The sequence below is a fragment of the Homo sapiens genome, chromosome X (assembly GCF_000001405.40).
Source record: "Homo sapiens chromosome X, GRCh38.p14 Primary Assembly".
NCBI lineage: Eukaryota > Metazoa > Chordata > Mammalia > Primates > Hominidae > Homo > Homo sapiens.
The window spans coordinates 151,586,552-151,603,759 of NC_000023.11; the positions used below are offsets into that span (position 1 = coordinate 151,586,552).

General features: G+C 39.6%; 1 protein-coding gene across 2 annotated transcripts in view; it reads left to right on the plus strand.

Moving 5' to 3' along the window:
* The window catches only part of PASD1 (PAS domain containing repressor 1), a 113,065-nt gene that overhangs the window by 22,877 nt on the left and 72,980 nt on the right, over positions 1 to 17,208 (plus strand). For both annotated transcript variants that reach the window (NM_173493.3, XM_011531102.3), the window contains exon 2: positions 14,976 to 15,030. In NM_173493.3, the coding sequence (NP_775764.2) occupies positions 15,003 to 15,030 (28 nt within the window). In that variant the 5' untranslated portion in view covers positions 14,976 to 15,002. The remainder of the gene's footprint in view (positions 1 to 14,975; positions 15,031 to 17,208) is intronic.

Below are 17,208 nucleotides of genomic sequence, written 5' to 3' on the forward strand. Positions count from 1 at the left end.
GACTGGTGAAATACACAGGACCTAGTATGTATGTAGTAATCTCAGTAAATGTTGGTTATTTTGGCTCTACCTCTGCTGCCACTGCCCTACTTCAAGGCCCCAACCTCTCCCAGCTGAACTCCCTGGGTCTTCTAACTTAAGTGCTTCTCAAAGGTTAGTGTGCATAGACATGGCTTAGAGAACTTGATGCCGTGATGATTCTGATTGTAAATGTCCGGGGCATCCCTAGAACTTGCCATCTTCTGTGAAGCTTCTAGTTCGGTATTGATTACTCTCTTGCCCCTTGCCCTGAATCAGTGGATTTATACAGGTGCCAGTCTTCCCCACAAGCCTGTGTACTGCCAGGGTGTGGCAGGGACAGGAGTTGAATTGCTGAGATTTCAGAACTGGCAGGAACACAGAAGGGTTTTATGGACTTAATTAGAATAAGACTGGGATTAATCGTTTAATGGATTGCTGATCTGTTTTAGAGCCTGCAGAAATTTTTGCTGGACCATCTAGAAACTTGAAATATTCTGCCGGAATGTTCAGGGATGCCAGAAATCTTCTGTTTCTTTAGTATTCCTTATTGTCTCAGACTAAGAGAACATGACATATGAATTCCCAAAAGGGGGAAATCAGTAAGAAACACCCTTTTAAATCTGACTTTGTTTCTTTACAGATCTGGGTTTGCCTTTTTTTTTTTTTTTTTGTACCTATCTTTTAGGAACAGGATTAGGATTAGCTGGGTGAGAGGAGGTGTTCAGCAAACTTTGACCATTTGCATTTTTACAGGTAAGACTCAGCGTTCCCTCATTCATTTATTCATCCACCAAACATTTATTCAACATGGGTTTTCTACCAGGCACAGTTTAGGGTGCTAGGAATATAATAAGTGACAAAATTGGCCTGACCCTGTTCTCAGAAGGGGCCACAAAATATGCACCTGTGCTCAGAATGCACCTCAGCTTTGGTCTAGGAAAGACTGGGCATTTTTCCTATGCAGGTATGTGTGTATGTGTGTGTGCGTGCTTCCGTGGAATTGAGTTCATTTTCTTCATTGCTTGGATTCCCTCACAACGTTGGCTCAGGTCAGGGTCTATGCTTGTGCAGTGAGAGCTTACTGAAAGAACTAAGGTTAGAGAAAAGCACAGCCAGTCAGTAGGGATACCTCAAAAACACCAGGATGCCTGATTCTGTTCCTGGATCTCTTTTGGAGCATGACTTTGCCACCTGCCTTTCCTGGCGTATTGTGTGGTGTATGGCATGCATATTACGTAATCCAGGGTAGATTAATTTACATTCTTGATTTTATCCGTTGGAAAGTTATATTCCCTTAAGATGGATGAGTAACTGATAAAATATTGTCTTATGAGTTGTAATTTTTGAAGGAATTTTGATTGAAAATAAATTGGAAATTTCCACTGACTTGGTTGATATGTTTATATCATACACATTTAACATCATTACTGTCTACTTGAGAATTGTAAATATTTCATTCTTTCTCACTGATTAAATGCCTTTAATAAACCTTATATGAGAAGAGAAGATGACTTCACTCACATTGATGAAATGTGCCATAATGCATTTTCCCCTATAAACTTAAAACAAATTCCTGGAACCATATTGAGATTTGAAAGACCATTTTCCTTTGCTTGAGCAATTGTTTATAAAGAGTGTGTACGTGTCTCTCTCTATAGAAAGACAGAGTTGATCCCTGATAGTGCGCAGCAATTTTTATAACTACAAATATATGATGTGATTATCTTCCACAATAGCATTTTCAATACTTTGAGGTTTTTACTTTAAAATAAACAAATATTGTAACCAAAGTAATTTCCAAAGATGTAGTAGTCTCTGCATTCTGCTTTTCTTCTGACCTTCTCTGGTTTTCTTTAAAATTCCATGTAAACATCTTAAATGATGTTTACATGAGTCAAACACTTTCTGGCCATTACTGCACTGGGAGGCCACAGAGTTTTCTTTCTCTCTGTCAGTCTGGCTAAGCTGACTGACAGACTGGGTGAGGGAGGACAGACTGATCTGCAGAGCACATTTCTGGGTGCTGCTGAAATAGTACTCATTCTGACAAATCGCTGATTAGGCCTGCCAGGAACTGCCTGTGATTTAGGCAACCCCACAGAGATTCCTGGGTTCTAGAGCACTAACTAGTTAACTTTAACCTCTTCAGATGTGGAAGAGTGAGGATATGTTCTCTCTTAGTCTCTCTTTATGAAAGATAGAATATTGTTCATGATCATACTTTTTGCACCATTAGAAATTACTGCTAACATTTGCAACTTAATTCTGCTCAATTAGGCCCAGAAACTCCAATCCTTGCATTACTCTTTCTCTGGGACTTTTAATACACCTGCCCATTGCCTGCTGAAGATTCATTCCAGCCACTTGGCTTCTCTACTTTTTTTCTCAGTGAGCTTTCCCCACATCCCTGCCCCAACTTCTTCACTTAGTCAATCTTTACATCACAGTTCTACACGTCAAGTACTGTGGCTAATATTCTTAGTGTCTCTTGTTCTCCTTGGTGCTCAGAAACACTCGGAGCAAGGACTGATCTGATCACCCCCTTTCCCCATTCCTACATGTGGGCTGCTGTGTGTTATTGGGGACAATGTCACTTCTGCGCAGATCATTACCACTACAGGGTTATCCTCTTCTGCCACATGTTGCACATTACGCGGGCATACATTAGGTGCCATGATACCCTGACTCTGCACCTAGACCTGAGACAGCACTTATTCATGACATGTTAGACTTACCTGGTAGGCCCACTGCATGGAGATTGGTCTCCACACAGTTCTCTCATTGTTGCAACAACAGGTGATGTGAAGAAACCTCTCTGTATTGCCAAATTTTTGCCATCACTGCCCCCTCTGAGAAGACTGCATCCTTCTCACAGTCTTTTAGATTTTATACTGCTATTAACAATCGCTAATGAAAGCCATAATTTATTGGGTGGTTGCTATGAGTCAGTCATAGTGCTAGCCACTTCATATACATTAACTTAATTCTCATAAAAACCTTGGCATGTAGGTATTATAACCCCCATTTTAAAGTTGAGATAATTGAGACTCATAGAAGTTAAGGACCAAAGGTCACACATCTACAAACAGGTAGAGAGTTGGGATTTAAACCCAGGTCCAATTGATTCCAGAGCCCAGTCTCTTCACTCTTCAACACTGGTGTCCACATTATTTTTGAGAGGAGTTTCTTAATTCTGAATGGCACACATACTAATTGTAACAAACTTTAAAAATATAAAAAAAATGTACTTGCTCATTGTTCTATCACTAAAAGACACCTTGTGAATGCTTTGCTTTTATTTCTCATTCTGTTTTCTACACAATATTGCATTTGATCATTTGCTTAACATGATTGGGTTCATATAGCACATACAATCCTGTAACCTTTTCCAGACAACATTATAAGTATTTTTCGTAATACAGATTCTCTGAAAACATGCTTTTCACTAGCCTCTGCATTGATTACAAAACATGAAAAATCTACTGGGGAGTGTCACAAATGAGATATTCCATGAAATAAGAAATGTAATCTGGGGTGGGAGGATAAAGGGAGCTTGGACTCCTAGTCCTGGGCAAATGTTACTCTATTTGAAAATGAAGAATGCCACAAATATAGACATTTCACATGGAACTGCACTAAAATTCAACTTTAAAAGGCAGAACAGGCAAAGGTGGATGAGTACAAGTTATTTATCTGAATTTGTGAAGGATTTGTTGGAAAGGACATCAGCCCTGAGATATGTAAGTAAACTCATGAATTACAGTGCTTTAGTCTTTATTTTAAACTCTTTCCTAGTCCCCTAGGTTTGCATTCAGAAAGTCATGATCTTGCAATTCTTGCTCCTCAGCCTGGTTTCTCTCCTTCCACGGCTGTCAGGTGTAGTAAAAATTTGGCATTGTAAAGTAGTCCATGGATGGTGGAAGATTTAATACCTTGAACCTAACCCCATAGTAAATGGGTCCTGGACTGATTCTCAGGACATGTTCCACTTTCACTTTTTATTTTTACTTTTATTTTTACTTTTATTTGAGATGGTCTCACTCTGTCGCCCAGGCTGGAGTGCAGTGGTGCCATGTCATCTCACTGCAACCTCCGCCTCCCAGGCTCAAGCGATCCTCCCACCTCAGCCTCCACAGTAGCTGAGTCTACAGGTGCGCGCCATCATGCCCAGCTTATTTCTTATATTTTCACCGTGTTGCCCAGGCTGGGCTTGAACTCCTGGGCTCAAGCTATCCTCCTGCCTTGACCTCCCGAAGTGCCGGGATTGCAGGTGTGAGCCACTGCACCCAGCCAGGACATGCTTCACTTTGATTCTAATTCAGGATTACAACTTTAGTGTCATTTAGTCCTGAAATATTTGTTCTGGGAGATATGGCACATGACATGTATGTCACATAGGTCCCAGATAGAACTCCTGCAACATGTTTCAGGAACATTAGCAACAGGAGCCCAGATTTTGATCAGTAAGTCACTTGTCTCTAGAAAAGGTTGGTATTGCTGTGGAGCTTGAGCTGTAAGTCTGATATTTGGGTCTTGGAAGTTTTGAGACTGAGAGAGTTAGACTGAGGATTCTTTTGACTGTGGGCCTTATCCCAATTAGACACTGATACATCTATATTATCATAGTAGTCATGCCGGAAAGTATATATCTAAGTGATTCTCAACTACAGAGAGCCAATGATGAATTAAATCCACCTATTCAGTGTGTCTTCTTGTAAACTAAAACAAATATCTATGTATGTATAGATGTGTGTGTACACACACATCTATCATACGTTTTTCCAGAAAATTAAAAATGGATGAGAACAACACTCCCCACAAAACCTCTTAGAAGAAATGTTTGCAAGTGTGACCCTCCTGACCTTTATATTATACTTCAGTAATACAATTTGATGGGATTTTAGATTATTTCCCATTGATTTTGGAAAAATGTACTTATGTAAACAGCTATTTCCAACCAATTAATTATTATTTTGCATAGGAGGGCTGACTATTCTTGGCCTGAGAGCTTTTAATTAGCCTTATTCTTTTTCAATCTTTCCATGTTCTTTCACCGACATAAGTTTCTGAATCTGTTGTTTTAGAATGAATTACTGAGTGGAGAAGGTGCAAAGTCCATTAGCAGTTAGGTGTTTGAGCCTACCTTGCCCAGTAGGTAAGGAGAGTGGTCAGGTGTTTATCTGTGGATTTTGAGTGTGTGCTCTGTGTGAAGCTGTGTGCTGTTGGAGGTATCAAAGATATGTAAAGCATGGCTCCTGTCTTCAAAGAACTTGTAAACAAATTTTGTTGCCCCAAAACACAGAAAGGGCTATATTAAACACACACACATACTCTCTCTCTCTCTTTTTTTGTCTCTCTCCATGGTAAAACTTCAAAATTTTAATGCCTCTTTTATCATAAATCAAATTTCAGTTTATGTTGTCTCTTCTCTGCTATATGTATGTGTTTACCATTATTGATTAGCCTGAATACAGTAGCTTTATAATAAGCTTTGATGTCTAGTAGGCACACCCTTTATATTGCTGTTGTTCTTCAAAGTTATTGTAGGTATTTTGGCCCTTTACTTTCCACAGGAATTTTGTAATTAACTTGTGAAGTTACATAGAAAAACAAAGCAAAGCAAAACAAAAAAACTTACTGGTCTGATCAGAATTATGTTAATTTGTACATTAGTTGGGAAGATCTGATAAATTGATGATATTGAGACATCCCTTACACAGACTTCGCATTGTCACTGCATTTATTTTATGTGATTCAATAAAGCCTTATTATTTCTAGTGTAGTATTTCTGTGCAGTTTTGTTAAATTAGCTACTAAGCACTGGATAGTTTCCTTTCTATATGAAGGAACCTATAAATGTTATTTAAGAACATGAAAAACGGGTTTGAATAATTGTAGAGAGAGAACTTTTCTTGATGGAAATATATACCATAAAGATGTATAAATGTAATTTTAATAAATTACAATTAGATTATTGAAGTTTTTGGAATTTAAAATTAATTTTTATAGTAAATCATTTTGAAATATTTTCCAATTTTCTTTGGGGTTTCTTCTTTGACCCACAGATTGTTTAGAAGTATGACATTTAACTTCCAAATATTTGAGGGGTTTCCAGATATTTGTGTGTTTAGTATTACTAATTTAATCCTGTTGTGGTCAGAGAACAAAATCTGTGTGATTTTAATGCTTTAAATTTATTGAAACAGTAGATGTTGAATCTTATTGAATGTTCCATATACAGTGGAAGATAATGTACGTTCCATAGCTGCCTGGATGTGGTGTTCTGTAAATATTATTGCTGGTAATGTTAAGTCTTCGATATCCTTACTTATTTTCTCTTTATTTATTCTATTGATTACTAAGGGGAGTATTTAAATTACCAACTCTTAATTGTGGATTTATTTATTTCTTCTTTCATTTATGTCCGTTTTTACTTCACTGTAAAGCTTTGTAGTTAGATGTAAACATATTTAGGGTTGTTAAGTTTTCTTGATTGACTTCCTTTATCATTATGAAATGTCCCTTCTTTTCCCTAGTGATATATTTATCCTAGAGTCTACTTTGTGTAATATTAATATAGTCACCCAAATCTTTTATTATTAGGGCTGAGTGGTATATATGTTTTTATCCCACTTTTTTGTAGTTATTTAAGTTTATTTTTTTATTTTATTTTTTAAAATTTTATTATTATACTCTAAGTTCTAGGGTACATGTGCACAATGTGCAGGTTTGATATATAGGTATACATGTGTCATATTGGTTTGCTGCACCCATCAACTCGTCATTTACATTAGGTATTTCTCCTAATGCTATCCCTCCCCCAACCCCCCACCCCTGACAGGCCCCAGTGTGTGATATTCCCTGCCCTGTGTCCAAGTGTTCTCATTGTTTGATTCCCACCTGTGAGTGAGAACATGCGGTGTATAGTTTTCTGTCCTTGTGATAGTTTGCTGGGAATGATGGTTCCCAGCTTCTTCCATGTCCCCGCAAAGGACATGAACCCATCCTTTTTTATGGCTGCATACTATTCCATGGCGTATATGTGCCACATTTTCTGAATCCAGTCTATCATTGATGGACATTTGGGTTGGTTCCAAGTCACTACTATTGTGAATAGTGCTGCAATAAACATATGTGTGCATGTGTCTTTATAGTAGCATGATTTATAATCCTTTGGGTATATACCCAGTAATGGGATTGCTGGGTCAAATGGTATTTCTAGTTCTAGATCCTTGAGGAATCATCACACTGTCTTCCACAGTGGTTAATCCCACTTTTAACCTGTGTCTTTATAATTAAATTGAGTTTCTTATAGACGATACATATAGTTTGGTCTTGCTTTTTAAAAATCTAATCAACAATCCTAAACTACATTTGTGTGTTTAGCCCATTGATAATTTATATTATTATTATTATTTTGAGACGGAGTCTCACTCTGTCACCCAGGCTGGAATGCAGTGGCACGGTCTCGGCTCACTGCAATCTCGGCCTCCTGGATTCATGCCATTCTCCTGCCTCAGCCTCCTGAGCAGCTGGGACTACAGGTGCCCGCCACCATGCCTGGCCAATTTTTCGTATTTTTAGTAGAGACCGGGTTTCACTGTGTTAGCCAGGATGGTCTCGATCTCCTGACCTCGTGATCCACCCACCTCAGCCTCCCAAAGTGCTAGGATTACAGGCGTGAGCCACCGTGCCCGGCTGATAATTTATATTATTATGAGTATGTTTTGATTTAAGTCTACCATCTTACTATATGTTTTCTGTTTGTCCTATTTGATTGATGTTTCCATTGTCTTCTTTTTTCTGCTTTCTTTTGGATTAAATGAGCTTTTAGTTAGTATTCCATTTTATCTCTTTTTTGATTTATAATCTATATCTGTGCCTTTTATTTGTTGTCTAGGCAGTTTGTCATATACATCTTTAATTTATTACAGTCTGCCATGGATTAATATTGTGCCACTTCATGTATAATGTAAGAAGCTTACAACAGCAGATTTCTATTTTCCACCCTCCCGTCCTTTGTGCTATCATTGTCACGGGTTTTACTTCAGCATATATTATAAACTTTAGAATATTTTGCTTTTACATCAATTATCTTTTATAGAAATAAATTAAAGAAGATAAACATTCTTTTATATTTATGAACATATATATTCTTGCCAGTGCTTTTCATTCCTTTGTGTAGATCTGAGATTCCACCTGGGATCATTTTCCTTCTACCTGAAGTACTTCCTTTAATATTTCTATTAAAGCTGGTATGCTTCTCATTGACTTCTTTCAGATTTTGTTCACCTGAAAATATCTTTAGTTTTCTCAAAGGGTGTATTTTTGCTGGATGTAGAATTCTAGGTTGATTTTCCAACCCCCCCTTCCCAGCACTTTAAAGATGTTTCATTGTCTTTTGGTTTGAGTTGTTCTGATGGGAAGCCAGAGAGAAAACATTATTTTTCCTCCTGTATTAAATGTATCTTTTATTTCTGTTTGCTTTAAGATTTCTGTTTAAAATTGGTTTTCAGCAATTTGTTTTAGTTTTTCTTTGTGTTTATTTTATTGGGTTCACCAATATTCTTGGATATATGAGTTTATATTTTTCATCCAGTATGGCAAAAAAATTGGTAATTATTTTTCCAAAAAATATTTTTGCCTCCCTCTTCTGGGAATCTAGTTACTTATATTTTAGATTGCCTGATACCATCCCACACTGAGAGAGACTCTGCTCCTTTTCCTCTACTCTGGCTGGATACAACTCAAATGTCTTCCACCTAGGCATGAACTGTGGTGGTTATTTAGTTTTGTATTCATACCATTTGTTCTCTCCCTGGTAGTTTTGATCTTTGACTGGTCTTGTAGAATGTCACCTTGCAGGCCGGGCGCAGTGGCTTACGCCTGTAATCCCAGGACTTTGGGAGGCTGAGGCGGGCGGATCACGAGGTCAGGAGATGGAGACCATCCTGGCTAACATGGTGAAACCCCGTCTCTACTAAAAATACAAAAAAAAAAAAATGTACCCGGCGTTGTGGCAGGCCCCTGTAGTCCCGGCTACTCGGGAAGTTGAGGCAGGAGAATGGCATGAACCCGGGAGGCAGAGCTTGCAGTGAGCCGAGATCGTGCCACTGTACTCCAGCCCTGGCGACAGAGTGAGACTCTGTCTCAAAAAACACAACAAAAAACAAAAAACATGTGTGCAGATTTCTGGAACTCTTTTTCCCCCAGAGCTCCCTTCTTTCTGATACTCTGCTCCACAAATTGTAACCATCTTTCTTGGTTTTCTGAACTCTTAGGTCTGTTTCCTAAAACTTAATGAGACCACTTTATTCTGGTTGAGATCCTTCTCCCTCAATCATGGTCTGGAAGTGCCCTCAGGTAGAAATCTGGGATTTCTGTGGAGCTCTTCTCATTTTTGCTCTTATCTCAAAGATCACAGGCATGTGCTACCTGCTTTCCAGTGTCTTAGAACAGGCATTTCCTATAATTTGTCCAGTTTCCTAATTGTTCATGGCAGGGGGACTGTTCCCACATCAGTTATTCTAGAGTGATAAACAGCAATCCTGTCTTAGTCTGTTTTCTGTTGTTATAACAGAATACCTGAGACTGGGTAATTTATAAAGAAAAGGGGTTTATTTAACTCAAGGTTCTGCAGGATGAGAAGTTCAAGGGGATGGCCCTAGCTTCTGGCAAGGGATTTTGCGCTACATCACAACATGGCAGAGAAAGTCTAAGGGGAAGGGGACATGTGCAAAAAGTGAGGCAGGCAGGAGGAGGAACTTAAGCTTCTAACAACCCAGTCTCTCAGAAATTAATCCATTCCCCTGAGAAGTAATCCTGTATCAAGAGAGTGAGAACTCACGACCAGGAGAATGGCACCAAGCCATTCATAACCCAAACCTTCTCACTAGGCTCCACCTTCCAGCATTGCCTCTTTTTAAGGATCAAATTTCAACATGAGTTTTGGTGGAGACAGGAAACCACAACCAAGCCATAGCAGACCTCTGTAACTTTTTGTTGCTATTGTATGTTTTAAAAATATTTCCTAATTTTGGTTGCTGGTATGTAGGAACAAATTAATTTTTAAATATTAATCTTGTACACAGCAACCTTGCTGGACTATTTTATTTCTAATAATTTGCAGAATTTCTTAGGTTTTCTATGTAGATAATCAGAGTGTTCATGAATGCAACCACTCTTTTTTTTCCTGAAGCTAAAAAATTCCTTTAATGTTCTACCTTTAGGAGGTTTGTATGTTTCTGGTTGACATATTTTATCAGGTTAAGGAACTTCCTGTCTATTCCTAGTCTGTTAAGAATATTTTCAAAAATCATATGTGTGTATTAAATTACATCAAATGTGTTTTTCTGAATCTACTGAGATGATCACATGCTTTTTCTCTTTTTAACTGGGATGTTGAATTATATATTTTTTCTAATGTGAAAGTATCCTGATATTTCTGGATTAACTCCACTTTCTTAATACCCTGCTGGTTTGGGTTTTTACAATTTATTTAGAACTTTTTCATATGGATCATAAACAAAACTGACATAAAATTTCTCTTTTTGATGCTGCCTTTCTCTGGTTTGGTATGAAGAATATACTAGCATTATAAAATAGATTGGGTAATTTCTCTTTTTATGTGTTTTCTAGTGTAATCTGCATGGGATAGGAGATACCTATCAGTTCTCTAAATGTTTAGAAGCATCCATTTGCGAAATCATCAGGTTTTGTTTAGATTTGTTTAGGTTATTTTCTGTGGATGGATTTTTAACTACCAAATTTATTTATTTAGATTTGTAGAGTTTATTCAGGTTTTCTTTGTATCCTTAAATAGGTTTGGGTAAAATTCATTTTCCAAGGCAGTATCCCATTTTATCTGTTTCTCTGTTTTCAAATTTATGGGTATAACGTTGATCATACTGCTTTTTACTATGTTGTATTTATAATATGCCCTTTCATTCCAAAATGTGTCCTCTCCCATGTTTCTTGATTAATCTTGTATAACAATGCTTTATTTATTTCACTACTTTTTATTTTAAGAAAGCATTTTAAGATTTCTGTTTTATCTTTATTTTTATTGCATTATTTTCTGGTCCTATCTATTATTTTCTTCTCCTTTCTTTAGCTTTACTTTTATTTTTAAATTATTTTGTTTACTAATTTATTAATTTTGTTTGTTTGTTTGTATGAAATGGAGTCTCACTCAGTCGCCTAGGCTGGAGTGCAGTGGTGCGATCTCAGCTCACTGCAATCTCTGCCTCCCAGGTTCAAGCAATTCTCCTGCCTCAGCCTCCAGAGTAGCTGGGATTATAGGTGCCTGCCACCACGCCCAGCTATGTTTTGTATTTTAGTAGAGAGAGGGTTTTACCATGTTGCCGAGGCTAGTCTCAAACTCCTGACTTCAGGTAATCTGCCCGCCTCGGCCTCCCAAAGTGCTGAGATTACAGGCGTGAGCCACTGCGCCCGGCCAACTTACTAATTTTGTTTACTAACTTGTTTACTAGTTTTTGTTTGCTTTTTTTCCTAATAGGCATTTAAGACTAAAAGCTTTGGTACTACTTTAGCTGCATTTTACTTTAATATATTTGTAATATGTGGTATACTTGTAATACTTTAGTTCTGAGTATTTTCTGCTTTTCAGAGCTATTTAGGAAGTTTTGTTATTTTGAATGTTCAAATCGATCAGGTTTTGTATTGTCTTTTTATTATTGATTTCTAATTTAATTGTATTTGGGCCAGAAAATATGGTCTATATGATAATATTCTTTGGTATGTATTGATCTTTTTTATGGCTTAGAATGGCTTAGCTGTTTTTTGTGCTCTGAGATTTCACTGTGATATTTCTAGGTGTGGTTTTATTTTGATTTATCCAGATTGGGTCACATTTTCCATTCTGGAAAATTTAAAATTATCTCCTTACTGCTCATCTCCCCTTGCTATTATGCCCATCTGGAACCCCTCTTAGATATATACTGTGCCTTCCCATTTTGTCCTTCATGTCTCATAACCTCTTGTTTCATATTTTCTAACCCATTTCTCCTACTGTATGGCAAGTTTCCTCATAGCTCTGTTCCACTTACTAATTTCCCTATCTGATGTTTCTAATACATTGTTCAATCCATCTTTTAAAAATTAGTTTCATTGAATATATCTATTTATATAATTTCTAATTCATCTTTGTCCACATCTATTTGAAGTTCTTGGGGGATTCATACTGTTGGGGTATGTGTGTCCCTTATTTTGGGGACTGATAGATTATTATTATTATTATTTTAGTATTTATTGATCATTCTTGGGTGTTTCTTGGAGAGGGGGATTTGGCAGGGTCATAGGACAATAGTGGAGGGAAGGTCAGCAGATAAACATGTGAACAAAGGTCTCTGGTTTTCCTAGGCAGAGGGCCCTGCCGCCTTCCGCAGTGTTTGTGTCCCTGGGTACTTGAGATTAGGGAGTGGTGATGACTCTTAACCAGTATGCTGCCTTCAAGCATCTGTTTAACAAAGCACATCTTGCACCGCCCTTAATCCATTTAACCCTTAGTGGACACAGCATATGTTTCAGAGAGCATGGGGTTGGGGGTAAGGTTATAGATTAACAGCATCCCAAGGCAGAAGAATTTTTCTTAGTACAGAACAAAATGGAGTCTCCTATGTCTACTTCTTTCTACACAGACACAGTAACAATCTGATCTCTCTTTCTTTTCCCCACATTTCCCCCTTTTCTATTCGACAAAACCGCCATCGTCATCATGGCCCGTTCTCAATGAGCTGTTGGGTACACCTCCCAGATGGGGCAGCGGCCGGGCAGAGGGACTCCTCACTTCCCAGACGGGGCGGCAGGGCAGAGGCGCCCCCCACCTCCCGGACGGGGCGGCTGGCCGGGCGGGGGCTGCCCGCCACCTCCCGGACTGGGCGGCTGCCGGGCGGAGACGCTCCTCACTTCCCAGACGGGGCGGCTGCCGGGTGGAGGGGCTCCTCACTTCTCAGACGGGGCGGCCGGTCAGAGACGCTCCTCACCTCCCAGACGGGGTGGCGGCGGGGCAGAGACACTCCTCAGTTCCCAGATGGGGTCGCGGCCGGGCAGAGGCGCTCCTCACATCTCAGACGGGGCAGACGGGCAGAGGCGCTCCCCACATCCCAGACAATGGGCGGCCGGGCAGAGACGCTCCTCACCTCCTAGATGGGATGACGGCTGGGAAGAGGCGCTCCTCACTTCCCAGACTGGGCGGCCGGGCAGAGGGCCTCCTCACATCCCAGACGATGGGCAGCCAGGCAGAGACGCTCCTCACTTCCTAGACGGGGTGGCGGCCGGGCAGAGGCTGCAATCTTGGCACTTTGGGAGGCCAAGGCAGGCGGCTGGGAGGTGGAGGTTGTAGCGAGCCGAGATCACGCCACTGCACACCAGCCTGGGCAACATTGAGCACTGAGTGAGCGAGACTCTGTTTGCAATCCCGGCACCTCGGGACGCCGAGGCTGGCAGATCACTCGCGGTCAGGAGCTGGAGACCAGCCCGGCCAACAAGGCGAAACCCCGTCTCCACCAAAAAATACGAAAACCAGTCAGGCGTGGCGGCGTGCGCCTGCAATCCCAGGCACTCGACAGGCTGAGGCAGGAGAATCAGTCAGGGAGGTTGCAGTGAGTCGAGATGGTGGCAGTACAGTCCAGCCTTAGCTCGGCATCAGAGGGAGACCGTGCAAAGAGAGAGACGAGGGAGAGGGAGAGGGAGACCGTGCAAAGAGGGAGACGGGAGCGAGAGAGGGGGAGGGGGAGGGGGAGAGATTATTTCCTTATGTATTTTCTAATTTTGAATGGTGAGCTCATCTTCAACAGTGCCTTATTTGTGGAAATTCTGTGGAATCTGTCTTTAGAAAGTATGTCTCCAGAAGGGGTTTATCTTTGCTTTTTCTGGAACCCCAAGGTTGATTCAGTATGGTGGTGTCTTTTCTCCTGTACCCAGAGAACATGCTGAGACAGACAAGCTTCCTGTTTTCTTCTTTTGTTGGTAGGAGGATTTTTTTTTTCAATGTAATGTTAGCCTCTGGGAGTCCTGGCTACATGTAGGGAGAGGTGGTGAGTTTTAATTCCACTTCGCTGTTTGGGTTATTTTTTATCCAATTTTTCTTTTCAATGTAATGTTAGCCTCTGGGAGTTCTGGCTATACATAGGGAGAGGTGGTGATTTTTAGTTTCACTTCCCTGTTCAGGTTATTTTTTATCTAGGAGAGCATTAACACCAAGCACGGGTTCATATTTTGTGCTCAGTACCGTTCCAGTGTTTGACTCCCTGAACTTTCCCTTACTTAGAGAACATTTAAAGGATGTTTGCTATATTTTAATCACTTTTTTGTAACACATATGTATTGGGATGCCATTGACATCTACCTTGAGGCTTTGGCCTTGAGGTGATGTGTGAGTCTAATTGTATAGCTCAAAGCAGAGGACTTCAGTGATTTCAGGGCTATTGTTTTATATGTCAAGGATTTCTGTGAACATCAACAATAATGCAAATTTTTCCCTTTTGTGGCATGTACACGCTTGGCATGAAGCTTTCAAACTGCATCTGTCTTCATTTCCTTAAATTTTCTCAAAGTTAGTGAAAGTTAAATGAATTTAAGGGTATGGAATTAAAACACAAATTAAGGGTATGGAATTAAAATACAAATATTTGGTTTTTTTTTTGGTTAAGTGGTGTAACCACAGAATGTTTTTGTAACTTTTACAAATATATTCATTTGTAATGTTATTATCAAAAATATTCATTGGGGATTATGCAATAAAGCAAGTCTTCAACATCTACATAACATATGAGAGTGTTATTGGTACTTAATGAAAGCCTATCTTTAAAAGAAGTAGACATTCCTTGAGGGAAAAGTGTTACACAATTGAGAATTTTGATTAGTCTTATTGCTTTACTGTGATTCACCATAGACTGATCTCTTAGTAAAATGTTGCTTCACTTTGATTTCAGGAGTCTTCCTACGTCACTGAATAATGAATGAAGATGAGAGGGGAAAAGAGAAGAGGTATGCATTCATAACTGACTGACATTTCTGTCAAAGCCCTCTCCCTCGTCCTGTGTTCCCGTTTCACATCTAGCAAAATGCTACTTCCTCAGGGAAGCCTGATTCACTCAGAGAAATGTGGTTTCTCCAGTGTTTTTTTTTCATAACTCTCAGCTCCAGCTCTATTATAATACTTAGCACATCACCTGTTTACCTGACAGCCCTCTTCCTCAAACTGTGTCCTCCATGCCTTGCACAGTGCCTGCCCAGAGCTGACTCTAAGGGTTGTCAAATGACTGACAAGTATACAGTCCCTGATATTTTTAGAAGACAGTTTTTGAGCCTTGGCTTGCCTACAGCTTAAATTCATTTGTGTTTGAGAAGATAAATTAACTTACTTTTCCAGATCAAACTTCTAAAATAAATTCAAGTACACTGATCAAAAAGTTTTTGTCAAAAGTTTGCAGTATGATCTGTGGTATCCAATGGATACATTTGATACATTGTGGAATGGCTAAATCCAGCTAATTGATATATGCATTACCTCACATACTTAACTTTTTCTGATGAGACCACATAAAATCTACTCTCTTAGCAATTCTCAAGTGTACAATATACTGTTATTTACTGTAGTCACCATGATGTGCAATAGAACTCTTGAACTTACTCTAACTGAAATCTTATATCCTTTGTCCAACATCTCCCCACTCCTTCATCTCTTACTTTTGATGAAGGTTCATAGCTAGATTCTGCCTCTATCTTTGCTACCCACTTTATTCTGTTTGTAACAAACAACCATAGGGATCTTGTAAAAACCTAACATGTCACTCTCCTGCTTAAAAGCACTTCATGGGCTGGGCACGCTGGCTCACACCTGTCATCTTGGCACTTTGGGAGGCCGAGGTGGGTGGATCACCTGAGGTCAGGAGTTCAAGACCAGCCTGGCCAACGTGGTGAAACCCCGTCTCTACTAAAAATACAAAAAATTAACTGGGTGTGATGGCAGGTACCTGTAGTCCCGGCTACTCGGGAGGCTGAGGCAAGACAATGGCTTGAACCTGGAAGGCGGAGGTTGTAGTGAGCTGAGATTGCGCCACTGCACTCCAGCCTGGGAGACAGAGCAAGACTCCATCTCAAAATAATAATAATAATAAGAAGAAGAAGAAGAAGAATTAAAAGCACTTCATGTTTTACTCAGCATAAAATACCAACTTCTTACCATATACCCTACATGATCTGGCCCTTCCTGTCTCTCAGGCTTCACTTCCTACTGCTTTAACCCCTGGTCATCCCACTGCAGCCACTCTGGGATCTTGTCATCTCTTTAAATAGGCAAAATGATTTCCTGTTTCATGTTGCACTTACTGTTTCATCTCCCTGAGACGGTTTGGTCCCGTGTCTTCACATGGTTGCTTTCTTGTCAATCAAATCTTAGCTCAGATGTTACCTTCCTAATACCTTCCTAGTAAGGCTTTTCTTGATCACCCGATCTTACGAATTATTGTACTTGCAGATACCTGAAACTGTCTGTTCTGTTGTCTATGTGTTGATTATCTGTCTACGCTGCCCCGTCAGTCTGTAAGATACAAAAGAACAGTCACCTTATTTTTCTTGTTTATGCTATATCCTAAACCTGTAAAGCAGAATATGACCCATAGCAGGAGCTCTGTAAACATTCGTTAAATAAATGAATAAAAGAGGTTCACTTTAACAACAGGTACTGAATCCCTGCCATGACCTAAGTACTATGTTAGACGTTGGGGATATGATGAAGAACTGGATATGATGCACACCTTAGAGAATAAACAAAAACAAGTTCATGGGTAATAGTAAAGTAGAAAAGTCCTTTATGATTTATTTATAAAATACAGTGGTTATCCTTTCTTGGCAATATATGAACTCCCCTCTCTTTTTTATTTCTTTGAATGAAGTCTAGGAGATGAAAGTTATGAGATGGAACTGGAAGGCAATGGAGAAATTTCTTCAGAAATTGACTATGGAAGAGTGTCATGGGTTGTTTCTTGAGTTTGAAGAGCTATGCCTAGAATTGAGTTTCCAAGCTGGGACAGTGGTCAGGATCACTGATCCTGACTCATTTATGCAGTTGGCATGGTTTACTTTTCATGTTACTCCTATTTCACACCCAGTTACACACCCTATTTTCATTCCCTCATCAGTGAGGGCTCTAAAGCTCTCTTT